Here is a 27,796-nt window from a genome sequence, read left to right on the forward strand (position 1 = left end):
TTCTAACAAATTGTGTGCTTGTCTGAGCTCTCACCCCCACCTCTCCTTAGAAAACTTCAAGGGCAGAGACCTGATCCTTTCATTTGTGTATTCACAGTGCCAGGGCAGGAACCAGTGTGCCATAGACACTCAATAAATGTTAAATTGCATTTCAGCCAATGCATACCTTGGACAAAGTTTCTGTGTTCCTTTAGAGGTTATGACCGAGACTCGGGCTTAAACACTTGCCTCTGTCACTAGCCAGGTGATCTAGGGTAACTTAATTCATCTCTGCACCTAGGTTTTCTCATCTGTAAAATGAGCACAACAGGACCTACCTCCAAAGGACACTGTGGTAGTCTTCATAAAGCCCTTAGTAGATTGTCTGGACACACTGTGAATGCTCAGTAGATGTAAGACAGGGTTAGCAATGTGCAGTATAAGGGACATAATTTCCTTTCGATTGCCAAGAGTGCAGTGATTCATATGCTCCTTTTCTACCTGGCAGTCTTTATCTTCTGTAAAGCACATCTTTGCACAAAGCAGCTTCATATCATTTCAATGCTGTTAGATATCTGGGCGCCATATACACAGGAATGCTAGTAGGCAGTTTGTTAACTAGGAATCAAATATACCAATCAAAGAGATTTTCCTCAAAGTGATTTGCCAATTCATCCATCCATCAAGCCTGTGCCATTACAAGCTGCGTGAGTCCTCCAAGGCCTGCGAAAATGAAAATGAACAAAACCAAACCCCTGTTCCCATGTTGATCACAGCCTCCCCGGGCAAATATAGCAAAGACCTAGATAGAACTATAAAAAGAGGCTGCGAGAGTCCAAAGAGGAGAGTGGCCGCCCCTGTGCATGGTGAGGAGAGGTTGGGGAAGTGGGAGCGCCAGCAGGCCTCATGGAAGAGGGGGTGTGCAGCTGGACCCTGCCAGGTGAGTAGGAAGAAGTTTGTCAGAGAGAGGAGGTAGAAGCATCTCCAAAAACAGGAAGCAGCAAGTGCAAAGAGACAGAGTCCTTGAGTCCACATTCGGCAAATGCTGAGGTTGGTGGCCCTAAAAGGCCCAGAAAATCAATCCACATTCTTCTAATACTGATGTGGATTTTATTTAAAATAGAAACACTTCCACCAAATTAGTTATGAATCCCAGAAGAGATTATCTTATTGCTAAAATAAATGTTCTTTTCTTATTTCTTCCAAAATGATTTGATGGTTATTTTTCTGAAGCATATTTCTGATTTCTCTTGAAAACAAGTGCCTTCAGAAAGTCCATGTCAGCCAAGGAGAAACAACTCAAAAGTAGCCCAGGATCACAACTATTTAGCCCCACCAAGGATCAAATTCTTCATATTCTCTAAACTACCCCCCCAGCACATGGAGTGATTTCAGCTCTTCAAAGCCAGTAAAGAGATAAGTTCATTGAAACTCAAGATGACAGGCACAGAGCTCATTATATCTGGTTTCATTTGTTCCTTCAGTTATTCTCTGAGGACAGTGGACAGTGAATGCAGCCAGACGTCTCTTTCAGAAGAGCACAAATGGAGGAGGAAATTTTGTTCATAACTTTGCTGGGAGAATGTTTGGCCAAATGCAGTGGCCTGAGGCCAGAAAATGCCATTTTTTATCTCCAGTGCAGACAGGCAGAGAGGAGGTGTAATGGATTTAGCAAGATAAAGACTTGGACCCACAGAAAAAGAAACACACACACATCCACATGCACACGTGATCCTCACGGAAAATTAGACTTCACTTCCACCTCTTGAGGTGGGAATTGTAGTCTTACTGAAATTACAGAGACGAAGCTACGGTCATATTACACAAAGCTGTATCTATCAGTGAAGGGTGGCCTCTTGGGAATGAACTATTTAAACAACAATTGCGTGTCCAGAATTCATGATGTGAGCAGATTTTTCCTGAAAGAGGCAACTTGGCCTGTTGGGATCAGAACTGTTGCTTATTTGATTGTTTTCCTTTTGGTCTCAGACGCTGGGGTCTCAGTGTCAGCTGGAGACTGAAAACTTCAGCCTGCAGGGAGAGATGGGACAGAGGTGGCCCTGAGGGCCTCTGAGTCCTGGCTCCAGGTGTCCCATTCGTCGGCCCTTCCTGTGCTTGGCTATGCAAGCCAATCCATTCTCTGCGATTGCTTGAAATTTGTAAAAAAGAAAGAGAATGAGGCTTTGTCATCATTGTGAGCTTGAGTAAATCATTTCTCACTTCTAGACCTCGGGTTTCTCACTTGTTAAGAGGGTGGGGGTGGGAGACTAAGCAAATCCTCAGGTTCTTAAAATTTGTTGATTTAATTGATCTGGAAAAGGGATTTTTTCCACCATTTTGGTTTAGGAATATTTTATGGGGCCCAGGATGCAGAGGTTCCTTGAGTTCCTCAGTGAAGGACCGCAGTGACTTCATGGTTGGGGTGGCAGTTAACCTGAGCAGCAAAGACTGCTGGGTAGAGCTAGGCGCTGCTTTTCAGAACCAAAGGCTTCACCTATTTGAAACTTGTATTATGGAGGCATGTTACAGAGGAAAGAGCACAAGACTTAGAATAATTGTCCTAGATTTGAGTCTAGCCACTAAACTAACTCACTGAGATTGTGGCCAGGGCACACCCCAATTTGGGGACTCAGTTTACTTGTGGGTGAAGTGAATATGGGAGACAGACTCCCAGGAGGCTCCATGGTCCATGCTCCCTGGTGTACCCACCCTTGTGGGATCCCTTCCCTCCAGTGTGGGTGGCACCTGTGACTTGTTTCTAACCAACAGAATATGGCGATGGTGGTGGACGTCAGTGTCATGATATTAATATATTCCAGCGGACTTGAACACCCATCTTACTAGCCGACTTTTGCTGTCAACTGTCTCCCTTGCTGGCTTTGATGGAGTAAGCTGCCATAGAGAGAGGTCCTGGAGAAGAACTGAGGGTGGCCTCTGGCTGAGGGCCCACAAGAAGCTGAGGCCCTCAGGCCAACAACCCTCAAGGAACTGAATTCTGTCAACAACCACATGATTTTGGAAGCAGAACCTTCCCCGGTCAAGCTGCAGATAAGATCCCCAGCCCTGACTGACTCCCGGATTAAAGCACCGTAAGAGAATCTAAAACAGAGGAATCAGCTAAACTGTGCCTGGACTCCTGACCCACAGGAACTGTGAAATAATAAATGTGCTGTTTAAAAGTACGAAGTTTGTGGTAATTTGTTATGCAGCAGTAGATAAGTAACACAACAAAGCAGTTATAACCTTCTGTACCTGACATCCTGTGAGCATGACAATACTCTTCTTATGATACCAGCATTACACATGTAACAGAAACCACTCCATTATGACATACACAAACATATTGTAAGCTGCTGTTACTATGCTGGGTTGAGAATTATTCATCTTTCTAGAACTCCTAGGGTACTTGTTCTGTATTTAGATTCTCATTTAATCAGGACTCATTTCCAGGCTTCTTCCTGCTGATTGTAAATACCATGCTCACACACACAGGTCCACATTCACACATACAGATCCACATTCACACACACAGGTCCACACACACACACACAGGTCCACGTTCACATACAGATCCACATTCACACACACAGGTCCACACACACACACACAGGTCCATGTTCACATACAGATCCACATTCACACACACACAGTTGCACACTCACACACAGGCCCACACTCACACACACAGGTCCACACTCACACACACAGGCCCACACTCACACACACACATCCACACTCACACACAGGCCCACACTCACACACACAGGTCCACTCTCACACACAGGCCCACACTCACACAGGCCCACGTTCACACACACAGGTCCACATTCACACACAAGATCCACACTCACACACACAGGTCCTGCATCTCGCTGAATTTAATTAAGGATCAACCTGAAATAAAATGGCTCCAACAGGGCAGAGGATGCCTCTGAGAGGTTCTGAGGACAGGAGCAAGAGACTTTGGTGTTATTTGGTGTTGTTGGTCCTGACAGTCAGGGTCAAGTAGAAGAATATGAATCAATGAAGCTTGAGGAAAAATTAGAAAATTAGTCTAGCAAGGGGAGCCCCATTTCTGTGCAGAAACATATGGCCACCTATAACCAGCAGCTAAAGATATTGGACTTCTTTTAACATACAGAGGTGCCCAGAACAAGTGTAAGGGCCTCAGTGAGCTGCAAGTTAACGTTTTGTTGCTTTCCAAGTCTGCTTTTCTGGAATCCTGACATCCCCTACAAATAAAATCAACATTGTGGACTGTCTCATTTTAGCCATGAAAGGAATGGACCTAAAGTCTGGTTAGTGTCTGAGGTGGTGGTTGTCGAAGGTTCCAGAGAGGTGCCAAGGAAATATGGCTCAGCCGCATCTCCATGAGGAGGAGTAAGTCCATGCTTCTGCCCACAGGGGCCTTCTAGGCTACCGGTGAGCTGTCACTTCCTCTTCCAGGAGAGTTTGATGGGTGCTGGTGCAGCAGCCGACTTAGGAACCAGAGGAGGTGAAGACACCCAGGAGATCAGAGCAGGGCTGGGGAGTGAGGAGAGCAGCGCTTAGTGCTTTTGAATGATGAATTCCTGCCCTTAGAGACTTAGTAGGTGGCGTCATTTCCTCCCGGGTACCCGTCCCCCCAACACCTGCTTTGTCATTAAAGGACGATCCACCTCTGCCGAAGAAGAACTTAAAGGACAGGCATGTAAGACGCATTAAATGACAAAATATAACCTGATGAACAAAGGCAAGGGGGCAGTCTCGGTTCATTGAGCCAGGGGGATTTGGGTAAACTTCCCAGGGGCATCCCTGGTGACCCCTCCAAAACCCCAGCAAGAGGCTGAACTGGGCAAGGGTTAACTGGCATTTCTTGATGAAGTGATTTCAGCTCTGAAAGTCTGATGCTCGCGGCCCCAGCAGGAGGCCCCTGGAGTCCCAGGTTTGGGACAGGGCGAAGTGCCAGGCGGTCTCCTGGCCTCGGTCCCTGACAGCGAGGGCAGCAGCGAAGGCAGCCGCGGGGGCGGCGCTGGAGCCGACGACCGGGCGGGGAAAGCCCGAGACGCGGCCCGGGCCCGGGGTCTCGGAGGCTCGGGGACTCCGGCGCGGGCGTGTCTCTGCCCCACGCCGCCCACAGCAGCCGACCCGGCCCCGGGGGTAGATGATCCGCGGCGCGGAGCCCCCTGGCCCGGGCCTGCCTTTGTGGCGCGGCGGCGCGGCCGCCTTTGTCCCTCCGGCGCGCACGCCCCGCCGCGCGCCGCCTTCTGCAAGGATCACCCCCGCCGCGGCGCTACCTGGCCCTTTGTCACCAGCTGCCAAAGAATTCAGAAAATCAAATTTATTTCCCGATTACGGCCGGAGCGCCCCTTTGTGCAGAGGGGTCTCTTTAACTGCTGAGATTCCAGCAGACACTGTGCAGCCCTTTATGGCGCAAAATAAAAGCCGTCCCGCTTCTTGCCCCGGCCCCCGCCGCCCCTCCCGGCTCCCCTGACTTCCAAGCCCCTGTGGGAACCTGGGAGGGACGCTCTTCTCTCAATAAAAACGCTTATGAGCCCGAAGACATTGGGGCTTGAGTGTCTTGCCAGCTAAAGGGGATAAATCAATGGGCATCTTGAGTTCGGGAGGGTGTATTTCCCTTTTTTTCTGGGAATGAATAGATGAATGGTAACTCCGTTTCTTACCAGCCCAGCACTGTCCGAAACTCGCCTGGACAAGTCCAACTTCATTCTTTTCAGTACGACTAGCTCCTGTGCGCTGCAGAAGACTCGGGCTGATCTGAAAGCGCCTCTCCTATTCGAGACTCTCAGGTTTTAAGTAGGTCTTCCGCACCTGCAGATGAAAAAAGATGTGGCTATTATTTTCCTCGATTACGTTGACATTGCCTGAAAATGAATACAAAACATTGCCTTGCAAAGATTTTTTACCTTTTCTTTATTTCTTTCTTTTTTGTGTGTGTGATTGTGCAGGGAAATAAATGTATGTCTTTTATATTTTTGAGAAAAGTCTAGAGTGACCACATGTTCACAGCACGCATTCCCACACTTCTTGTCCACTCATAAAGCAATGGATAAGAGAGACGGATATGCACAAATCTACTAACCCATCAACATCAGCCCAATAATAAATGCTCCCATGAAAACAGTTACAAAGGCCATCATAATTTGTACTCTCATTATAAAATATTTAGCAGTATAACTTGAATTATATAGTCATGGAAGGAAGAAATCTGTATTGGAAGAATTAGGCCCATTAATTGTAAATCATACATGTTATAAGGCTTTTGCAAGCTCTTAAGAATAATAATACATAATACATAGATATTTAGCACTTAGGATTTTTTTTCACCATCTCTTTTTTTTTTTAATCGTGAGAATTGAAAGACGCCACTCAGTCATTCTGTGACTACAGGAAGTGATTATAAATCAATGCCACAGTTGCTAACAGACGGCATTCCTCTCTTTATACACATCTGTGTGTCTCCTCACACACAGGCGTACATGCACACACATATGCACACACACACACAAGTGCTTGGCCCACTCAGCCTCCCCATAATTTCACAAAAGAGTGACTCTAATGTTTGCTGCCTCGTGGGGAGCCGGTGGGCACAGCAGTGGATTGGATACCTACACCAGAGAAGGCCTGAGAGGCGTAATCAAATAAGGGAACCACTTGAACTGAACTCCCAGCAGGAGCGGGAGGGAGGCCTTGAGAGGTTACACGTAGTTTTTATCCAGCCTTGCAGGAGAGCACCAACTTCCTGCTGCTAGAAATTTGTCTGCAAATTTTTTCCTCATTCAGACAGAGAGCTGGGGTCCAGGAAACACTGGGTTGATATGATAACTTGATTAAGTCTGGGGACAGATGACACGGGAGCACCAACTCGACTCAAAGGAACCTGTGCTCTCCTCTTTAACCTCTCCTTGGGAGCCTACAAATTATATCTATTAATGCATCAGCCCCGGGAACTGCACAAAGACATTGTCTGCCTAAATGTATGTCAGTCATTTGCAGGGGCCTTTGTGGAATTCCCACCACATTTTCATGTCTCTTCGCTATTTGAAAAAATAAAATGTAAACTGATGGGCTAGACAAAGGCTCACAGTCTACCTCCTCTCGTTAAAATCGCTTTGAAGGCAGAAGTCAAGTTCATCAGCAAAAGTGTTCAAGAAATTCTTGAAATGGGCCCTGGGCAGCTGGAGCATATCCAGGGGAGAGAAACTACAAGGAAGAAGGGTTTGGAAACTGCATCCAGTGAAGCATGGATGGAAAACCCAGGGATTTGCCTGGAGAAGAGAAAACACAGAGAGGACTTGGGAGCTGAAGAAGTGCCAACGGGAAGAAGGATGAGAGTTTGCTGTGGGTCCCGGGACAGAGCCCAGGGAGAGACAGGCGTTCGCCAAGTGCCAGCAAAGTGACTGGATGAAAAATGGGCCACGTGCTGGGGCCGCCCCTGCGGATGTGAGGAAATCAGTAGCGTGGCCACAGCTGCACAAATCACAGCTGCCTCTCCTGGTGTCTGATCCAGGAGACAGCCGGCCATTGAGAGGCTGGTAAACCTCAGCTCCAAATAACGTGAGTTTTTAAAATGTGAGGGTTAATTTAACATACAGTAAGTTTTGTATCCACCACCCCAGTCAAGATATAGAAAATTTCTACCACCCCTGAAAGTTCCCTTGTGCCTTCTTTCCAGTCAGCCCATCACATCCCACTCCACCTCCTAGGCAATTATTGTTCTTTTTTTTTTTTTTTTAAGAGATGGATTCTCACTCTGTTCCCCAGGCTGAAGTGCAATATCAGGATCATAGCTAACTGCAACCTGGAATTCCTGGGGTCAAGTGATCCTCCTGCCTCAGCCTCCCAAGTAGCTAGGACTATAGGTGTGCACCACCACACCAACTAGTTTGTTGCTATTTTTTGTAGGGATGCGGTCTCTAACTACTGGCCTTAAGCAATCCTCCCACCTCAGCCTTCCAAAGTGCTGAGATTCCAGGCATGAGCCACTGTCCCTAGCTGGCAATCGCTGTTCTGATTTCTATCACTCTCAATTAGTTTTGTCTGTTTTTAGAACTACATTTAAATGGGATAATACAGTATGTACTCTTTTGTGTCTGGTTCCTTTTATTTAGAGGACGCTCTTGAGATTCATCCATGTTGTTTGCTCATTTTTGTTGCTGAGTAGTATTCCCTAGGAGGGCTATAACACAGTTTGTCCACCCATTCTCCTGCTGATGTGTATTTAAGTTGTTTCCAGTTTGAGGATATTATGAATATAGCTGTTATGAACAGTCTCATAATACTTTTCATTTCTAAGTCATAGGATTAGGGTATATTCCAAATGCCTTTTTTTTTTTTTTTTGACCAAGTCTTGCTCTGTCACCAGGCTGGAGTGCAGTGGTGCGATCTTGGCTCACTGCAACCTCCACCTCCCAGGTTCAAGCTATTCCCCTGCCTCAGCCTCCCGAGTAGCTGGGACTACAGGCGCCCGCCACCACACCAAGCTAATTTTTTGTATTTTTAGAAGAGATGGGGTTTCACCATGTTGGCCAGGATGGTCTTGATCTCCTGACCTCGTGATCTACCCACCTCGGCCTCCCAAAAGGGCTGGGATTACAGGCGTGAGCCACCACGCCGAGGCCCAAATGCCATTTTAAACAAGACTGCAAAGCAAGAAAAGCCTGAGGTCATGAAAGGTGTTGTCTTCAGCCAAGACTGAGAAGAGTTTCTGGGACTTGACAGTTTCTAGCTATTGTCCTCACCTTCCCCAGACAGCACAAGTTGCATCCTCGTTCCTCTCACTGATGGGCAGGGGGCATATACTGAGATTGATCTAGGGCGGCCTGGGATTCTTCATGAGCAAGAATATCCATCTTAGCAAAATGGGTATTGGCATCATTCCAGCTTACTCAAAATATGTGTATTCCCATCTACTGAGCTCCCACTATGGGCTGGGCCTTGTGGGTAGACAAGGGGCCATAGGCTGAGAGAGATGAATTTGATGAGGGACCTGTCTTTAAAGTGCTTGCTGCCAGGTGCGGTGGCTCACGCTTGTAATCCCAGCATTTTGGGAGGCCGAGGCAGGTGGATTACCTGAGGTCAGGAGTTTGAGACCAGTCTGGCCAACAAGGTAAAACCCCATCTCTACTAAAAATACAAAAATTAGCCGGGCATGGTGGTGCATGCCTGTAATCCCAGCTACTCGAGAGGCTGAAGCCAAAGAATCACTTGAACCCGGGAGGCAGAGGTGGCAGTGAGCTGAGATTGCGCCATTGCACTCCAGCCTGGGTGACAGAGCAAGACTCCGTCTTAAATAAATAAATAAATAAATAAATAAATAAATAAATAAAGTGCTTGCAAGTCTAGAAGGAGAAATTTAAAAAGTAATAAATTATGAAACCATAAGTCAGTCTTCAACAAACACTTGGGAGTCACCTGCTGTGCTGGCTCTGGGCTGGTGCTGACATGGTGGGGAGATGGCTAGACAACCACAGAGAGAACGTGAAGGCCACCCATCTGAACCATGGGGAAAGAGGGACAGAGCCTCCCACTCTGGAATAATGAGTCCCCTTTAGCAAAGAGGATATAAGGACAACGGAGAGGTTGGATTTGGATTTGGAACAGGTATTCCAAACCCCAGATCTGCTGCATCACCTTGGGACACAGAACCTGTCTCTGCCAGGTGTGCTCATGTGTCCTTATCATCTGACTTCAGGTGGCACTAAAGCTTCCAAGTCAAATCAAAGCCATCAGAACACAGAATGCTGGTGCTGGGAGGCCCTTTAGAGGTCACGGTTCACTCCATCCCAAGTACAGATGGAGAAACAGAGACCCAAGCAAAGATAAATCACTGTCTCAAAGTCACAGGGAAAACACGTTTGCCTCCCACTACAATTCATATTATATGATGTCAGTCCCTCATTTATTACAGGTTCTTATTACATAATAGAGACCTATTTATTTATGATATTAGCTTTGCAGGGATAAGATTAGCAGATTCCCTGTAGTCTCAGCAGGTTAATCAGACTTTGCCTGTGAGCAGCTGTTACATTTGGAGAGACACATTTTTAATCCAGAAGTTGTCTAAACTTTATGATAAAAACAGTAGACCGTGTTATGATAGGGCCTTATGTTATTAGGACTCACTCATCTTCTATATCAGGTTGTTTATTTTTCTATTTGTTAGGCTTTTATTTTATTTATTTTTTTGAGATGGAGTCTCGTTCTATTGCCCAGGCTGGAGTGCAGTGCCACGATCTCAGCTCACTGCAACCTCCACCTCCTGAGTTCAAGTGATTCTCCCACTTCAGCCTCCTGAGTAGCTGGGACTACAGGCGTGCACCACCATGCCTGGCTAATTTTTTTTTATTTCTTTAAGCAGAGACCGGGTTTCACCATGTTGGCCAGGCTGGTCTTGAACTCCTGACCTCAAGTGATCCACCCACCTCGGCCTCCCAAAGTACTGGGATTACAAGTATGAGCCACTGCTCCTGGCCTATCATTTTTTCTATACACAGGTTTGACAACTGTTTAATCATAGAAAACTGTATAAACAACTTTAGAGTAAAACTTCATCCCTATAGCCTTTAAAAACACTGATGTATATTACTGCAAAGTGAAAGAAAGTTGTGAATATATTGAATTTTCATATTACCATCCAAATGGTTGTTGACAAATTTGTTTAAAAGAAAAAAATGAATTTGGATTTATGCAAACTTGGCAGGAATTTACAAATCAGAGGGAATAAAGACAGCAATGTTCATGGTTCCTGCTTTGTAGTTTTTTAATAGTAATAAAAATTATACTTGATACATACACAACATTTTACATTTTCCAAAACACCTTTATATGCGTACTTTTACAGGAAATCCTGATAAATGACAAGATATATGCTACCTCCCTGCTGCAGATTGAGAAGGCAGAGGCTTGTCCATGATCACATAGCTAATAGGGCCACTGTGATCTCCACCCACCACCCTTTGCCCAAAGAGCAACATAGCGCCATGTGATGGTCCCACACAGAACCCAAGAAAACTCGAGGACGGCATTGACACAGTAGCTCTTTTAGGGCTGATTGTAAGATCTGTGATCACAGAATTTTTTTCAAACATATGATACGCATTTCAATAGGTCTTCTGCCAGAAACAGGGTTAGCTATATAATTTGTGGATTTTATTTACTATTTAGTGTCTTCCTAAGTAAAGAAAAATTCACATTTTAAATTATTAGCATGAGTTTTACAATTCCTCTTTAATTTGAATAGTGCCAGTTTTAAATGCAAATATAAGAACATTTAACTCCTACGCAGAATCACCAAAATTGCAGAATTTTTATTTTGTAGCCTATATATGTATGTATGTATGTGTGTATACATGTATATATATATATTCTTACCAGAACAGTGAAAGTGCTATACAAAACTAACCCCGCTGTTTTCATTTCTCTTGGTAATACACACACATTTCCCAGCCCTCTGTACCTTTGGCTTATGATGAGGCTGAATGAAAGGGCAGGGAGCTATGGATCATCCTTGCTCTCTCGTTCCTTCTCGTGTCATTTTCAATGGATCTGTTTTGCTAACACAAGGACATAAGGTGAGTAAGAAAGGATATGATGGGATTATTTGGTCAATTGTGTTTTTCTTAGACTGCCACTGTCTTTTTTTGTAATCTTTTTTTTTGTTTTGTTTTGTTTTTGAGACAGAGTTTTGCTCTTGTTGCCCAGGCTGGAGTGCAATGGTGTGATCTCGGCTCATTGCAACCCCCACCTCCTGGGTTCAAGTGATTCTCCTGCCTCAGCCTCTCAAGTAGCTGGGATTACAGGCGCCCACCACCACACCCAGCTAACTTTTTGTATTTTTAGTAGAGATGGGGTTTCACTATGTTGGCCAGGCTGGTCTCAAACTCCTGACCTCAGGCGATCCACCCATCTCAGCCTCCCAAAGTGCTGGGATTACAGGCATGAGCCACCGCGCCTGGCTCTTTTGTATTCTTTTGTACTGGTTTGCAAGGAGTGCATGGCTTCTAAGGGCCCTAGGGGCCCGCTTACTCAGGTGTGGGCAGAGTGTGCTTACCTCCCTGAGTCTCGACGAGCTCCTGGGCATCATGGGCCCACTGGACTCCTGGACTCCTGAGCATGGAGAATGCTCTGTATGAATGGCATAGCGAGGAACTGCAGTGGCATGACCCCTCTCCTCCACTGTCTCACTGGGCTTCACTTACAAAAAAGAAGTTCAAAGATGAAATTATCAAGAATGTCAAGACAGTGACAGAAGAGCATTAAGCCAAGCACGTGACCCTTCTCAGCATAGAGTCCTCTATAACAGAACTTCACGGTCACATGGCAAAGTCAGCACAGAGTATTCCTAGTCTAGAGGCTTTAAGAGTACAGATGTGTCTCTCAGGCCCCAGGCTGAACTTCTAGACGAATTCCAGGGTGGAGCACCTTCCTCACAATATCCCTAGAATTGATGAGGCTCCGTGAAGCATAATCCCAGAGGGAAGCTGGAACTCCCAGCACTGCCCTACCTGAGAGCCTCGTGCCTATAGCTGCGTGACTTGAGGATGAGGAAGGAAGGGAAAGGGGACAGTAGAAATCCTCCAGGCACAGCTAGAGTGCAGTGGAAGCAGTCTTGTCAAGAAAATGCTATTATGACCAGAAATTAAAGGGGAAATCCAAAATGTTGTTATAACCTAGCGATGTTCTTCTTTACCCACAAAACAATGCTTTAAAGAAACTAATTGCTCAAGACATCTCTCTCGAATACACATTTACACAGTCTATTTAATACAACCCCTGGAACAACTGCAGTGAAACAGAGCGTCAGGGAAACCTAACTTCCAGACACAGCTCTGATTCCTTCTTGATGGGTGACTCTGGGCAGGCCACCTAACTTCTCTGAGTCTCAATTCTCTTATCGGTAAAATGGGAATAATGATTCCTAACCCAGAGGTAGGGTCCTTGTGAGAGAATGCATGTAAAAGTGAGCTGTAAGCTGTAAATCACTGTGCACACATGAAGGCATGTATATTGCATTGGCACGTTGGTATCCTGTGTACAAACGTTATATATCACACACGGACACCATCAGGAAATTCCACTCCGGGGCAGAGTGATTTACAAAGCCTGCTCAGAAGTGGAGTCAATTAAGGTCAGCTTTCTATGTTGCTAAACAACAGGGGATTCTGGGTTCAGTAACGTTGAAAGGCAGGCCCAACACACCCCTTGAAACTGGGCTTTTGAGAGGGTTCAAAGGAAGGCGAAACAAAAGCCCCTCTTTGTGATGTTTTCACTCTTCCTGCATTGTCCTCTTTCACCCTCCAAGGGCCTTCATGTAAAGAAGGGCTGCTAATGTGGCGAGTGGGAGTTTGAAATTGTCCTGGGCCAACAATGTTGGCACATTCTGCCGGGCCTCATTACAGAATCATCTGAAATGCTCTAGAAGTGTTTCCCACTCATTAGCATAAATAGCAGAAAAACTCTTTCACAAACAAAGCAGGTTCCATCTGCCCCAGTATGTCCTCACCTTGACTTCAAATGGCCAGTCCCTCCCCCAGCACAATACAGGGGCGCCGGCCTCCGAGGCCCCAAACACCCCACTTCAGAACAGCATTCAGCGAAATATCAACACGGTAACCTGCATGTTTATTCATTGGCCAGCCCCCTCCTTTTAATGGAGTCCCTTCCCCATTGTGACCACTTGATTCTTTCACAGACCTAAAAGGGACAGGCAGGGAGAGGCTTCCTTTCGAAGCTGTTGGGATCCTTAGCAACCCACACCTTGTGAGTGGGTCAACTAGGCTAATTAGGTTTGTTCTGCCTTTTTGGCCCAGGCGTATTTTGTCAGGTATTCTGCTGTGAGATTAAAGAGTCATTAATCACCCAGGCCTGACGCTGACAAGGTGGCTTTTACAATGAAGTCCACTTCCCTGGTGCTGGCTGGAGCCTAGGCCGGATCTGTTTTGCATTACATTGCAGAAGAATGTAATGTGGGCTTCTTCCCAGGCGACCTCACAGGATGTCAACCTCGGGCCCCCGGGCCTTAAGAAGGCCGGTGCCAGGGACAGAGATAGCATCTACTTTGAAGGCAAACCGTGCTCACAGCAGCTGGGTGGAGTCTGTTGGGTTCTGGAAGGGCAACTCACAGAATAAGGTACAGCCTGACAGAGTCAGACCTCAGTCCCCAGCCGCCCAGCCCCGCATTTTCCCAAAGAAAGCCCAGAGGCTCAGAAAGGAAGGATACTTGCCCGAGGACACATAACAAATCACGGTGAGAGTCAAGATTAAAACAAGGCATCTCACCACTATCACACTACCACATCTGAATCCCAAACTAAGCTTTTTATAACCCTTTTCAACATAATCAATAACTGTTACAGTTGGCAATTCAGAGGTCCTGCACTCTTAAGCGGAGAAAGAAGGGAAGTCAATCCCATTTGTCAAGTGCTACAAAAGGCTAAACTCTGTGCCATTTTGCATATAATTGATTCCATTTAAATGTCATTTTCATAAGATGACTTGTGAAAGGGCTCAGCCACCCTTAGTTCTTACCCAGTGCAACAGTTTTCCTGATAAGTAGACCTTATCATCCCTATTTTTTTTTTTTTTAAGATGAGAGTCTCCCTGTCACGCAGGCTGGAGTGCAATGGCGCGATCACAGCTCACTGCAACCTCTGCCTCCAGGTTCAAGCGATTCTCCTGCCTCAGTCTCCTGAGTAGCTGGGATTACAGGTGCCCACCACCATGCCCGGCAAATTTTTGCATTTTTAGTAGAGACGGAGATTCACCATGTTGGCCAGGCTGGTCTCGAACTCCTGACCTTGTGATCCGTCCGCCTTGGCTTCCCAAAGTGCTAGAATTACAGCCGTGAGCCACCGTGCCCGGCTAGCATTCCTATTTTTATGAACAAAGAAGCCAAGACACAGCAAGGTTAAATAACTCATTCACGGCCGATATTCTTTCCTATGCCAGACTGCCATTTGAAAAGATGAGTTCTCTAAATCCAGGTGTTCTCATGAACTTTTATTATTGCTGATGTCAATCATAAATTAAAAGCTTAGGTCAATTATCTAAACATCAGATTATCAGAATGTGTTGTTTCCTTTTAATCTCAATGTGTGATCATGCCATCTATCTCTGCTGATGTTTCCTTGTTGTCCTTTCTGCTTTTATTCTTTCATTAATTTAGCAAACATCTGTTGAGCATGCTGGGGATACCCAGATTTTAAAAACAAGGCCATATGCCCCTTTCTTGTGACATTACTGGAAAATGAGCTCCTCACAAATAAGAAGGTAAACCAAGAAGGAGGAAGGCGAGGGCTTTGGAAGCCAGGAGCTCCAACACAGAAGGATGGTGAAGGCAATGCCTGGGAGGCTGCAGGGTTCTCCAGAGGAAGGCTACATGCCCAGTGCATAGGGAGGGCAGCTGGCCCACATGCTGCAGGGCGCAGCCCTGGGACAGGCTTCAGCAGAAAGACAAATTCGATAGGAGACCTGATCATCTACATCACCAAGGAGGAGATTTAGAACTTTGGCAGAGTTTGAACCTTTATTATTACTTAATACAATGAAAACAAAACAAATGGACTCACGCCTGTAATCTCAGCACTTTGGGAGGCTGAGGTGGGTGGATCACTTGAGGCCAGGAGTTCAAAACCAACCTGGCCAACTTGGTGGAACCCCACCTCTATTAAAAATACAAAAATTAGCCAGGCATGGGGGTGGGCACCTGTAATCCCAGTTACTAGGGAGGCTGAGGCAGGAGAATTGCTTGAACCCAGGAGGCAGAGGTTGCAGTGAGCCGAAATCAAGCCACTGCACTCCAGCCTGGGCAACATAGTAAGACTCCATTTCAAAACAAACAAACAAAAACCAACAATAATAAAAAACAAAACAAATGGAAAAATAAGACAGTTACTAACTCCAGGAAAGTAAAGGCAATCACACTGTACTTCAGGGCACAGTTATAAACCTAGTTTATATTTTCATATGGAAACAAAGAATGATGAACAAGCGATACTAGTATATAATAACAGTGGGAGGATATGGAGTGAAAGAGTGTGTATATGAGGGGAGGCCACGGCACAAGAAGAAAAAGCTAAACTCATCTTTCATGGTGGGAATTCAAGATTTAATGCTTAAAACTAAAAAATCAAAACAGAAACACAAGCATATTAGGGACAACATTTGTGGACTATTTGACTCTCCAAATTATGTGGATGTGTAACTTTGGTAAACACAGAAACTCAAATTCAAAAGTCATTGATGAATTTGATTGCAAAGTAAGACATTGTGTTTGTTGTCAAAGGGTTAACAACGTCCTTGGGAGGCTGTCAGGCCAAGTCATAATTGAAGCATACCTGGGATGCTCTGACCCTTCTGTGGGTCGTTGAGAGGTGGAGCAAGAGGTTAAGGAAGTTCACAGGTGAGGGGAGGGGCAATGTCTTGAGTGGATGCAGCTGTGAAAGGGAGGGAGCGTGAGGAATTGGTATCACAAACATTGACAGCGTGAAAGCCAGAGAAGGTGGTAGAACGCTGGGGAGATAATCCTGGTCCTGTCTAGCGAGATAGACAAGATTCAAAAGTGAGCCTGAACCAGACCCAGTTTGAACACCAGCTGCTGTACTTACAGACCACATTAGTAACTACTCTGAGCCTCACTTTCCACAATCTAAAGAAGAGAAAAATAGTAGCTCCCACCCAGGATTGTTCTTATACTTGATTCAGACACATTTATAAAGCCTCCACTATGAAATACTTACTGCATCTCAGGCCCTGAATAAAACCAGCCCTCAAACACACCATCAGTGAAACCAACAAGGTCGGTAGTATTTCTTGTTTCTTGAAAGTACATGCGGAGATCATCTATTCAAGTCTACAGGGTGACTGACTCAATGTTAGAAAGAAATGAAAAAAGTGCGTGCAAGGAAAATGGCGTTAATGGATGGTTTGACTGCGTCTTCAAAACCTACACACAGACCCAGGAAATTTCATTCAAGGATTAGCTGCATAGTAGGATCAACAAGCTGGATATAAGCATTCATTCTTTTCAGACATTGAGTTGTTCTGTTGATTTGAACCTCAGAAACCTACAGGCAACTGGCTTTCTTTAATTTTCTCAGGTCCTCATCCCTGTTTACCTCTTCTGTCTCTCTCTGCCTCAAGCCCAGAAACAACCCTTCTCCTTTTCCCTTTCTCCCAATGCTGCCTCTTCCCTCTCCCCGCTCCTCTTCAATAAAACCCTCACTAAACTCCAGGCCTTGCCTCTTCTGTCATCAGTCTGTGCACAAATAATAGTCCACGCAGCTGGGTGCAATGGCTCCCGCCTGTAATCCCAGCACTGTGGGAGGCTAAGGCAGGCAGATCACCTGAGGTGAGGAGTTCGAGACCAGCCTGGCCAGCATGATGAAACCCCACCTCTACTAAAAATACAAAAATTAGCCAGGCATGGTGGCCGGCACCTATACTCCCAGCTACTAGGGAGGCTGAGGCAGGAGAATTGCTTGAACCCAGGAAGTGGAGGTTGCAGTAAGCCAAGATCGTGCCACTGAACTCCAGCCTGGGTGACAGAGCAAGACTCTGTCTCAAATATATATGTATTATATATATAAAATATATATATTTATATATTTTAAAATATGTATAATAATTTATATAATATATATTTTATATACATATAAAATAGTCCAAACCTATATATAAAATAGTCCACACCTATATATATAAAATAGTCCACACCTATATATATATTTTATATATATATAAAATATATAAATATATATAATATATATAAAATATATAATATATATAAAATATATATATAATATATATTATATATAATATATATTATATATAATATATATATATAGAAAAAATAGTCCATACGAATATTTGTCCCAAAGACTTAAGACTTTTTAAAAAAGATTTAATGTTTCCATAACAAACAAAAATTGGATTCAGCCTTAGGAAACATATAATCAGAGGCTGACTTCCCAGACTTTCAGGGGATAGGAATGGGTGGGAAGGGAGCTTCACAAAATCAATATAAATGATATTTACTTGTAGTATTTTGGAGGAGAAGCGGGGGCAGGGCAGTAGAGGAAAGGGAAAAAAATGTATCTGAGCAAGAGAGGTATAATTTAGAAGCTGCCACGCAGTAAGTAGGAATTTCCGAGGAGGATAGATCATTTTTTACAGGTTTGACAAGAAGCTGATGGAGAGAAATCTTGACCAGACTTGCACCTGTTCTTCAAGGAGGATGAAAAATGCTGCCCTCCTCACCAAGCCCCGTTCCCAGTGGGCGGAAGAGGGGAAGGGCTCGGTGGCACGGGGGGACCACCCTCTGCAAAGCCTTTATATATGATCTCTAAGCTGGAGGGCAACAGTGAATAGTATGTCTTATACCATCACTAACATAATGTATCTGTGAATCATAGATAACATTTATTGGGCATTTGCCATGTGCCAGACACTGTGTTAAATATTTTGCAGGCAATCTTATTAAATTCTCATAACAATTCCACGAAGGAATCTCTACGATGTTCTGATTTACAGATGAGAAAAATGAGGCTGAAAGAGGTGGCCACTTGCCCAGGCAAAGCCAGGACTCAGAAAAACGCAGGTTTTCCCTGACTGTGGAGTCCCACTGCTATGGCAGAATAATTTTTTTTTTTTAGACCGAGTTTTTCTCTGTCTCCCAGGCTGGGGTGCAATGGTGTGATCTCGGCTCACTGCAACCTCCGCCTCCCAAGTTTGAGCGATTCTCCTGCCTCAGCCTCCTGAGTAGCTGGGATTACAGGTGTGTGCCACCATGCCCAGCTAATTTTTGTATATTTAGTAGAGACGGGGTTTCACCATGTTGGCCAGGCTGGTCTCAAACTCCTGACCTCAGGTGATCCACCTGCCTTGGCCTCCCACAGTGCTGGGATTACAGACATGAGCCACCATGCCCAGCCATAATTTTTTAATAAGTACTGACTTGTGTGTGTTTTTCCTGAATTTTCACAAGCTCTCCACAGAGTTAGACAGTCCTGCCTCAGGGGTTTCTGTAGGACAGTAAGCAAAATGCTACCTGAAAATTAAATCTCTTGCTGTATTTTGTAGACACCAAAATGCAGAGATGATGCTGAGTGTCTTAGATGGACCTTTTAAAGTAGCCCAGGACCGAAGAGTAATGAGAAATTTCTCCCAGCCTAGGAGGGGGGCCCTGGAGTTTTGTTGGTGGAGGTGGCAGGACCCGCAAGGCACAGCTCCATGGTGCCTTAGGAAGGCCACATGTAGGAGGGCCAGGGGCTCTCAGCCTCCCCTGGGACCCGGTGTGGGAAGCAGAGGAGAGGACCTCAGTCGTGGCTGGAATCTAATTTCCTTCACCTGGAAGGATGGGAGCATAACGAAGGATTTAAGATCATTTTAAACAAAAGAAAGTGGTATTTCTCACACAAATAAATTTATGTACTAAGATTTCTATGCATTACAAAATAGGTAAGTAGGCGGTCCCCCAACTCCTCCCTTCTATGTGCTCAGCCTACTGATAGGAGTTTGGCTGGGTGAGGTCAGGGAATTGGCATAAAAAGTTGATAACGCCCAGTTTCACCTTCACCTGCTACACAGAAGAAAATGGTTCTTCACACTATCAAAAACTTCTCCTCCCCACCCCACCCCTGGCCGAGGAATAACCTGCTGGGCTCCCCGCCTGACTCCAGGAGGGCCCACCACATCATGTACAAGGAGCCTTGGAATCTGTCACTGTGCGGGGCGGGGAAGCATTGCTCAAATGCACAGCCGGCTGCCAGAGCCCCAGCCAGAAACTCTCTCCAAAGCTACCTTATTCCCTTCCCCCAAAGCTTGAACATTTGTAAACAGAAGAAAATATCATTTTTTTAAGAACAGGCTTATCTGACCCTCCAATCCCCATAAGACACCCCTTTCTACACTCTCATTGCACCTTTCACTTCCCCTTCCCATCACCATTTGAACTGACGTGTTTATCTGCGTAATTACTTGCTATTCGTCTCCTGTGTTAGAAGCTCCATGAAGAGAGGGACTAAGAAGCCTTGTCCTCTGCTGCATGCCTAGCACGTAGCACAATTTCAGGAGCACAGTGCTCACGTTATACTTTCTGAGTAACTGAATGAACCATGGGCGAATGAGCATGGAACAATCACAGTTGGCAAAATCTCAGCGATCACACAGCCCAGTGCCCTGAGAAGCCCAAGCTTAGTGAGGCTAAACAACTTGCCTGAGATTCCAGAGAGAGTTGGTGGTCAAGCCCATGCTAAAAGCCAAGGACTCCAGACAGATCTTTGAGTGACTTTCTTCTTCTGACTCTGTCATTCTAAGTGTCCAAATTCATCATAGACAGACCAAGACCAAATTCCCACCTGTCCATACAAGTACCCTTGTCCTTCCTTGATCCTCTCAAGCTCACCTGTTTCAATATTGTCACAAGCCCCTCTTATCTAAATTTTTGGTGCCTTCTGTCCCCTAGTGTCTCAGTATTTCCAATGCCCAAGAAAAGATGATTGCTTTCTCTCTTATTCTAAAGAGTTTCGTCTTTTAACATGATAGTTGAAGGCTTTAAGATTCATCCTGTTCAGCCGATGTTCACTGAGCACTCACAGATGTGGACACTGTTTTAGTGCCCAGGGTAAAACAACAAGCAAAATAAGCCCCTTGTGCCACACATATTCTGTTGCCAGAGACAGATCATAAAGATAAACCAGCAAATCAATTAGTTTTAGATAATGCAGTGTCAGGAAGAAAATAAAATATGGTAAGAAGTTAGAGGCCGGAGTGCTATTTTTGATCGGGAGTTAGAGAGGACTTCTCTGAGAAGGCCTCGTGTAAGCTGAGCTTGAATTGGAAGAACATGCCAGCCTGCAGAGTTCTTGGGGACAATATTCCAGCAGACGGCCCAGAGGAACTGGCCAGTCTGCTGGAGCAAAGCACATGAGGCTTGTACGGTCAGTAAGGTGGGCAAAGGGCAGATGACAGAGGGTTTTGCAGGCTGTGAGGATGACTGGATTTTATTCTATGGGTATCAGGGAGCCGCTATTGGAGGTTTCTAAGTAGAGGAGTGATGTGATCTTCTCACATTTCAAAACAACCACGCTGGCTGCCATGTAGAGAATGGCCTAGGAGTGGGGATGCAAGAGCAGACAGACAAATCAAGAGGCTGCTGGTGTGGCCCAGCCCGGAGAAGAGTGTTCGGGACTAGGTGGGGAGCAGGGAAGCAGCAAGGGGCTCCTGTGGGGTGTGTTGGAGAGGTGGAGCTGGCGTGTCTTGCTGATGGACTGGATGTGCGCTGTGAAGGACAGAGAGGAGTCAGATAGGACATTCTTTGGTTTGTTTGTTTGTTTGTTTAGTTTTTGTTTTTGTTTTGAGTCAGAGTTTCGCTCTTGTTGCCCAGGCTGGAGTGCAGTGGGGTGATCTCGGCTCACCGCAACCTCCGCCTCCCAGGTTCAAGCGATTCTCCCTCAGCCTCCCGAGCAGCTGGGATTACAGGAATGTGCGACCACATCTGGCTAATTTTGTATTTTTAGTACAGACGGGGTTTCTCCATGTTGGTCAGGCTGGTCTTGAACCCCCAGGTGATCCACCCGCCTGGGCCTCCCAAAGTGCTGGGATTACAGGCGTGAGCCACCGTGCCCGGCCAAGGATGTTTTCAATCTTGGCTTCAGTGTAGGTGATTGTGGCACATTTACTAACATGGAGAAGACTGGGAAAGCGGCACATTTGTGGTGGTGCGGTCACCAAGAGTTGGTTTGGATGCATGAAGCTCAAGAGGTCTGTTAGCCCAGTGGAGATGCCAAGTAAGTGGCCAGATATGCAGCCCAAGGAACACACAATAACTGAGGAATTTCTGAAGTCTAAGAGGATTTCGAACTTCAGCCAAGGCTGGGCGTAGGGATGAGAAGGAGAGGCCTCCGGTTCTTCTCAAGTCTCATCACCCAGCAGTGGACGAGCGACGCTCATTGTATTAGCACAGGGACCTCTTTAACTTGGTCTTCCAGGAAGCTGGCCCAGGTCTAACCTCTCAGATGCTAATTTCACAGCAGACATCTAATGAATTCCTTAGCGTGTTTGAATGTCGAAGGTTTACCATTACTCACAGCAATGAATCATGGAATGATTACAATCTGGACTTTTTTCTTTAATTGGTAAAATGGTATGGTCTTTCTTCCTCCTGCTGTCTGTAAGTCTGCCTCCAACCATGGGGTCTCCAGGGCCTAATCTAGGAGGTGCAGTGGACACAGCTGTTGTTCCCCATACACAAGACTGTCCTCGCCTTGCCCCTGCTTGCTTGCTTGTTGGTGAAGCCCATCTCCCACCCCAGAGGATCGAAATGCCAGTACTCTGTTGTCAATCTTCTTTGAAGCTGGAGCATAGAAGTAGAACCCGATCTTGGCCAAGGGAGCTGGCCTGAGTGGAAACCTGCTAAGAGTCTTCTGCAAATGTTTTCCTCTCTAATAAAAGAGCACATTTCCTCTTCCTCACTGGGTGTGGTTGGGTCAGCCCGTGTCACTGGAATTGTAGCTGCCCCCTTGTGTGATTAGGAGGATGGCAGAGCAGAGGGCTGGGATGTACCTAGACCACTCAGGACACTGGGGAGCCCCATGTCTGTCCTGGAAGCCCTTGTGCAAGGCTTATTTTGAGGTGCTAAGGTAAGCATCGTTATTTTTAAAGCTGATTAGACTTGGGTCTTCTTTTCCTTCCATATACTTAGGTTTCCCACCTGGCTCACATTCTCCCCTTCAAGCACAAAAACTCCTTTGTGCTAACCACCCTCACTTATCCATTCATCCTGCTATGTGCTGGGCACTCAGTGGAACGTGCGGAACGGAAGAAATAGACTCGTCTTGGTAGCACCCGTCTTCGTGGGTCAAATAGACTGGTGTGGAGACAAACATCACACAGGTGACGAATAAACATATGATTACCAATTGTGACGCATGCACCTGGCAGGGACGGCGTGGTATGCAATGAAAGAAAGCGACAGCAGGACTGTGTTCCCGTCTGATCGTCTGAGAAGGTGTCTCTGAAGGGGGGACATTTAAACTACAACCTGAGCCCGGGCACAGTGGCTTACACCTGTAATCCCAGCACTTTGGGAGGCCAAAGTGGGTGGATCACCTGAGGTCAGGAGTTCGAGACCAGCCCGGCCAATATGGCAAAACCCCGTCTCTATTAAAAATAGAAAAATTAGCCAGGCTTGGTGTCACGCATCTGTAGTCCCAGTTACTCAGGAGGCTGACACAGGAGAATTGCTTGAACCCAGGGGGCAGAGGTTGCAGTGAGCCAGGATCGTGCCACTTCACTCTAGCCTGGGCAAAAGGGTGAAACTCTGTCTCAAAAATAAATAAATAAATACTACAACCTGAGAGACAAGAAGGATCCAAACAGGCAAAAGAGTGCAAAGTAGCATTTCAACAAGAGGGGACAACCAAAAATGCAACATTTGCTTCCATCTCCTTTTTTTTTTTTTTTTTTTTTTGAGACAGAGTCTTGCTCTGTTGCCCAGGCTAGAGTGCAGTGGCGCGATCTCAGCTCACTGCAACCTCCACTTCCCAGGTTCAAACGGTTCTCCTGCCTCAGCCTCCCAAGTAGCTGAGATTACAGGCACACGCCGCCACGCCCGGCTAATTTTTTTGCATTTTTAGTAGAAATGAGGTTTCACCATGTTGGTCAGGCGGGTCTCAAACTCCTGACCTTAAGTAATCTGCCCGCCTTGGCCTCCGAAAGTGCTGGGATTACAAGAGCTGCCTCCTTCTTGAACAGAGGCTTCTGAGCATCCCGTACCCTCTTCCAGACAACCTAGTGCAATCACTGTGGATCTTAGGTAGCTGAGGCCGCAGGACACAGAAGGGGTGTTTGCCGCTTTCACTAAGCTGCCAAGGTTGCTATATCCCGCGTGTCTCTCTGCAGCAGCACTGACCACCCAGACCCATCACCCGTGGGTCATTAACAAAGCTTTAGAGCAGTTCCGCACCAGCCCTCAAGCAGACAAAACCAAGAAAAAGGGACCCTTTCCCTCTGAGTTTGTCCAAGAATGCCCTTTTATTGATTAATTTATTTACTTGTTTGTTTGTAAGGCACCTTCAGATTCTGCTTTTCTGGGGAATGAGAATTAATGCTGGAAAATAGCATTCAGGTTTTCCCTCGCACGTCTTCCACCCTCCTTGGTGGTTCATCTGTGGTCTGGAGAACTGTGTTTGAGAAAGGAAAATCAACTCTAGTGGCCCAGAGTCAGGCAGACCATGATTACCCTGTTGTCCAGGCTGGTCTCTATCCTTAAAAGTCCAGGAACGACCTCAAGCAAAGCTCTAATGGTTACATAATTTCTCTTAGGCAGAAACAGAGTGTCTGTTAGAGCTGGCACTCCTAATTCAACAACCTCATTTCACACAATGGGAGACTGGAAAATAAAGCAGAGAAGTCTGCACAGTTCAGCAGAGGCAGGGCTGGCACCCAGGCCCTGGGGACTTCCAGTTCACTTTTCTCCCTGAACCATGCAGTTCACTCACAAATCCCCAACACATTCTGTTCAGATGACCCAGGTGATTCCCACCCCGCCCGCCACTTCCAGAAGGGTTACACTGTCATAGTTTGTGTCATAAACCTATGTCTATGCGCTTCTGATCCAGGCAGAGCTGCTTCCAACAAGGGCTACTCAAAGAGGCCTCGGCTGGGAGTGACCACCCTAAACCTGCCCTGCGATTTCCGGGATAACCTTTTGAGTCTTCCCAGCTTGTGGGATCACTGGGACGGGGTGAAGGAAACATGGACAGCAGTGTGTTCTGTTTTCAGTAACTCTACTTCACCCAGCATCTCCCCCCACCACTCTTTTCTCCCTCATCCTCTCCATCCCCTCCTCTAGTTCCTCCTCTCCTGCCACCACCACCCCCTCCACTTCCTCCTCCATCTCCTCCACACCTCCACCACCAGCACCCTTCAACCCCTGTCTCCACTGTCTCCTTCTCCACCTCCCTCAGCCCCTCCAAGCCTCCTCTACTTCCTCCTTCACTGCCGCTGCCACCTCCACCACCTTCTTCATGCCCTCCACACCAACACCACTAACCCCCTCCCCTCCAGCACCCCACCCCCCCTACCTCCACCTCCTCTGCACAAACACCCATACCAGCCCCACTGCCCCGGCTCTGCTTCCTCCTCCAGCAACACCCCCAGCTGCTCCTCTCTCCACTCCTCCTCCGCTGCCCGTACGTCCACACCACTTCCAGCAGCAGCTCCACCACCACCTAATCTGTAGCATTAAGATAGGTCTTCTAACCAAATATGCCTCTAGGACCTTGATGCTTCCAAAACAAAACGGGTGATCAGTATTTTAATCTATAGCCAGAGTCACTGAGATTTAGCATACATTTGAAATGAACCAGGATCGACTCCTTCTATTTTTGCTCATTTTGAAATTACTTATCTAACCACACACACCCATGCACATGCAAACGCGCACACACACACAGACACACACGGGCTCCACACACAGGCTCCTGATCTCTCTCTCTTTCTCACCAGAAGACCATAGGTACTCTGAAATGAAGCAAACAATGGTGGCCTTGTTACAGAAGCCTGATATTAATAGACTATTCCTTTTGATTTCAGCCTGGAAACATTGGCACCGAACCAATATTAGAAAGGAGGGACTGTGCAGCGGAAGTTTAAAAGAGAGAGGGAGAAAAAAAATCCAACCCAGCTTTGATCAGAAGGGTCTGAAGATGAATCGTGGTCATTTCATAGGTCTCTGGGTGGAGGTTAATGTCATTTTGAGACAAGGAAACTGGGTTTAAAAAAAATAAGGAAGCTGAGAAGAGATGAACTTTCTGATGGAACAGGGCCACCTCACCAAGAGGATCAAAGCTGCTCGCCATGCAGAGGCGAATGAAGGATTATTCACTTTCTATTTTTTCACGCCTGCAGCACACATGGGGATCTAATTGGTCAGGATGCGAAATACAGCCAGCCAGCCCCCGCAGCAGGGCAGAGCCCACGGGGGAAGCTGGTGCTTGCTGCAGCTGCAAACCATTAAAGGCAGGCTCAGCACCCTGTGCCACTTTAACTGCTCCTGTGTGCGTTTCCTCAACTTACAGCCCCCAGCATCTACCTGCAAGCCTTTCTGATCTCAGAGGCGATGAGCTTGACGGCTGCCAGGCCCCGCCGCCAGGACTCAGGGAATGCAAGAGAGGAGCCTTGGGGGAGGGCAACGCACAGTCCCTGGAGGGAGGGGCCGCTGGGCTGTGAGAAGGCTGGGACTGTGGCCCCTGGGGTGGCATTGCCTCAGTTTTAACCCACATCACCGGACAACAAGGAGTAAAACAAAGTGAGGGCCTGAAAACCCACACCACTGTGCATTGCGACCATAGGCACAGTACTCAACCTCTCCGACCCTTCATTTTCTTGCCTTTGAAATGGGGTGTGTGCCTAGCCCACAACACAGCTGTGAGGATTAAATGACATCAGGGATCGTTGACTAATGAGGGGAGTGTCTATTGGTTATTGTCATGGATCACACCCCTCCTTCAACCTTCTCTGACAACCTCTTGAACTACTTTAGGTCCAGTTTCTTCCAATTTCCCTTCCAGTCTTCTCCACCCTTCCTCCCTAGTGAAACCTTCCCTGCTTGCTGAGGTCAGCAGGATCGTAGAGCTCTCACTTGCCCCACTGAACCCCACTAGTCATTCATCTCAGGCTCCCATCTTTCTCTCTTAGCTGTCATCCTCGGGCACATCCTCCCAGCGGGCGTTGCCACCTCCAGTCTCCCCATACCTCCTCCTCAACCGCCCGTTATCCACATATATGAAGCTATACAACACAAGCCCACCCATTCATACAGCCCACCCTCTGCTGAGCACTCAGGAGCAGCACCCTGTCGCTTACAGGGTAAATCCTGAGCCCCTCAGTTCTGCTCCCTGTCCCCAAACCCCTAACTGTCCTGTTCGCAGCTGTCCCCTTAGCGAGGAATGCCATCAATCTTCTTCTGGTCTGCCTCATCCTGCAAGACACAGCTGAGGTGTGACCTCTTCTGGGTAGTCTCCCCTAATGCCAGACAGTAGCCTCGGCTAAGCATCGTACGTGTGTTTCCACACTGTCCTACCTCGACCACATGGAACTGAAATCATGGGCTTGCCTAAGTCTCTCCTCCACGTGAAGGTGAGCTTTTGAGAGACAGGAATGTATTCTAACTCATCTTTGTAGTCTCAGCATGTAGCATGTTTAGCCCAGTGCCTGGAATATAGCGTGCACTCAATAAGTGTATTGTGAACTCATTCATGGCTATCAATTGTTACTTGTCTCTCTGCCTAAACTGTCCAATTAAGTTGAAAGCATCTGGAGCACCGGGAATGTGTCTGACTCATTTTGTATTCTGCACAATGCCCAGTACATAGCAGAGCCTCAACACGGAGTTGCTGGTTCTGTGGGGCACCGTTAGCGATAATGCCCCTGCTGTGTTCTGTGCTGTTTTCTCAGCATCTAAGACCAAGCTCTGCACATAGTAGGGGCTCAATAAATATATTTTGAAAGAATAAATAGTGTATCTTTGTAGGAAAAACACCTGTTCTGGTCAGAATATGCAATGGGTTGGATGGTTATGACCCCCCACCCCAATTCATATGTTGAAATCCTAACTCCCAAAGCAATGGTGTTAGGAGGTGGGGCCTCTGCTGGGCGCTTAGGTCATGAGGGGTGGCACCCTCATGAATGGGATTCCTGCTCCTATAAAAGAAGCCTGAGAGAGCTCCTTCACCCCTTCTACCACGTGAGGTTACGGCAAAAAGAAACCTGTCTATAAGGAAGTGGATCCTCACCAGACACTTGATCTGCCAGT

At 46.6% G+C, this 27,796-nt stretch overlaps 1 long non-coding RNA gene across 2 annotated transcripts in view, besides 7 other annotated features; it reads right to left on the reverse strand.

The window, feature by feature from the left end:
- Window positions 1-3,839: 3,839 nt before the first annotated feature.
- LINC02036 (long intergenic non-protein coding RNA 2036) overlaps window positions 3,840-27,796 on the reverse strand; it is a 47,138-nt gene continuing 23,181 nt past the window's right edge. The window contains exons 1-3 of one of the 2 annotated variants that reach the window (NR_125404.1): window positions 7,072-7,131; window positions 5,643-5,790; window positions 3,840-4,503 (exon numbers count right to left, since the gene is read on the reverse strand). This is a non-coding gene — a long non-coding RNA (long intergenic non-protein coding RNA 2036). Of the gene's footprint in view, window positions 4,504-5,642; window positions 5,791-7,071; window positions 7,132-27,796 lie in introns of those variants that run through there. The other variant, NR_125403.1, reaches the window with a different exon arrangement.
- Window positions 4,912-5,141: a silencer, noted in NCBI's record as "silent region_15018". NCBI's record gives its function as "represses an Ori minimal core promoter by ATAC-STARR-seq in GM12878 lymphoblastoid cells {active_cell/tissue: GM12878}" and the evidence as "EXISTENCE:reporter gene assay evidence [ECO:0000049][PMID:35858748]".
- Window positions 6,564-6,858: an enhancer, noted in NCBI's record as "tiled region #6697; HepG2 Activating non-DNase unmatched - State 20:ReprD, and K562 Activating DNase unmatched - State 5:Enh". NCBI's record gives its function as "activates a minimal TATA promoter and a strong SV40 promoter by Sharpr-MPRA in HepG2 and K562 cells {active_cell/tissue: HepG2 | K562}" and the evidence as "EXISTENCE:reporter gene assay evidence [ECO:0000049][PMID:27701403]".
- Window positions 12,395-14,492: an enhancer, noted in NCBI's record as "VISTA enhancer hs1543". NCBI's record gives its function as "enhancer in: neural tube[10/11] | hindbrain (rhombencephalon)[11/11] | midbrain (mesencephalon)[10/11] | forebrain[10/11]" and the evidence as "EXISTENCE:transgenic organism evidence [ECO:0001131][PMID:17130149]".
- Window positions 12,648-13,453: an enhancer, noted in NCBI's record as "OCT4-NANOG-H3K27ac hESC enhancer chr3:193929613-193930418 (GRCh37/hg19 assembly coordinates)". NCBI's record gives its function as "activates a minimal SCP1, AML or CMV promoter by ChIP-STARR-seq in naive H9 embryonic stem cells {active_cell/tissue: H9 hESC(naive)}" and the evidence as "EXISTENCE:reporter gene assay evidence [ECO:0000049][PMID:30033119]".
- Window positions 13,064-13,358: a silencer, noted in NCBI's record as "tiled region #8130; HepG2 Repressive non-DNase unmatched - State 22:ReprW". NCBI's record gives its function as "represses a minimal TATA promoter and a strong SV40 promoter by Sharpr-MPRA in HepG2 cells {active_cell/tissue: HepG2}" and the evidence as "EXISTENCE:reporter gene assay evidence [ECO:0000049][PMID:27701403]".
- Window positions 13,454-14,259: an enhancer, noted in NCBI's record as "OCT4-NANOG-H3K27ac-H3K4me1 hESC enhancer chr3:193930419-193931224 (GRCh37/hg19 assembly coordinates)". NCBI's record gives its function as "activates a minimal SCP1, AML or CMV promoter by ChIP-STARR-seq in naive H9 embryonic stem cells {active_cell/tissue: H9 hESC(naive)}" and the evidence as "EXISTENCE:reporter gene assay evidence [ECO:0000049][PMID:30033119]".
- Window positions 15,066-15,869: an enhancer, noted in NCBI's record as "H3K27ac-H3K4me1 hESC enhancer chr3:193932031-193932834 (GRCh37/hg19 assembly coordinates)". NCBI's record gives its function as "activates a minimal SCP1, AML or CMV promoter by ChIP-STARR-seq in primed H9 embryonic stem cells {active_cell/tissue: H9 hESC(primed)}" and the evidence as "EXISTENCE:reporter gene assay evidence [ECO:0000049][PMID:30033119]".

The sequence above is a fragment of the Homo sapiens genome, chromosome 3 (assembly GCF_000001405.40).
Source record: "Homo sapiens chromosome 3, GRCh38.p14 Primary Assembly".
In the NCBI taxonomy this organism is placed as follows: domain Eukaryota; kingdom Metazoa; phylum Chordata; class Mammalia; order Primates; family Hominidae; genus Homo; species Homo sapiens.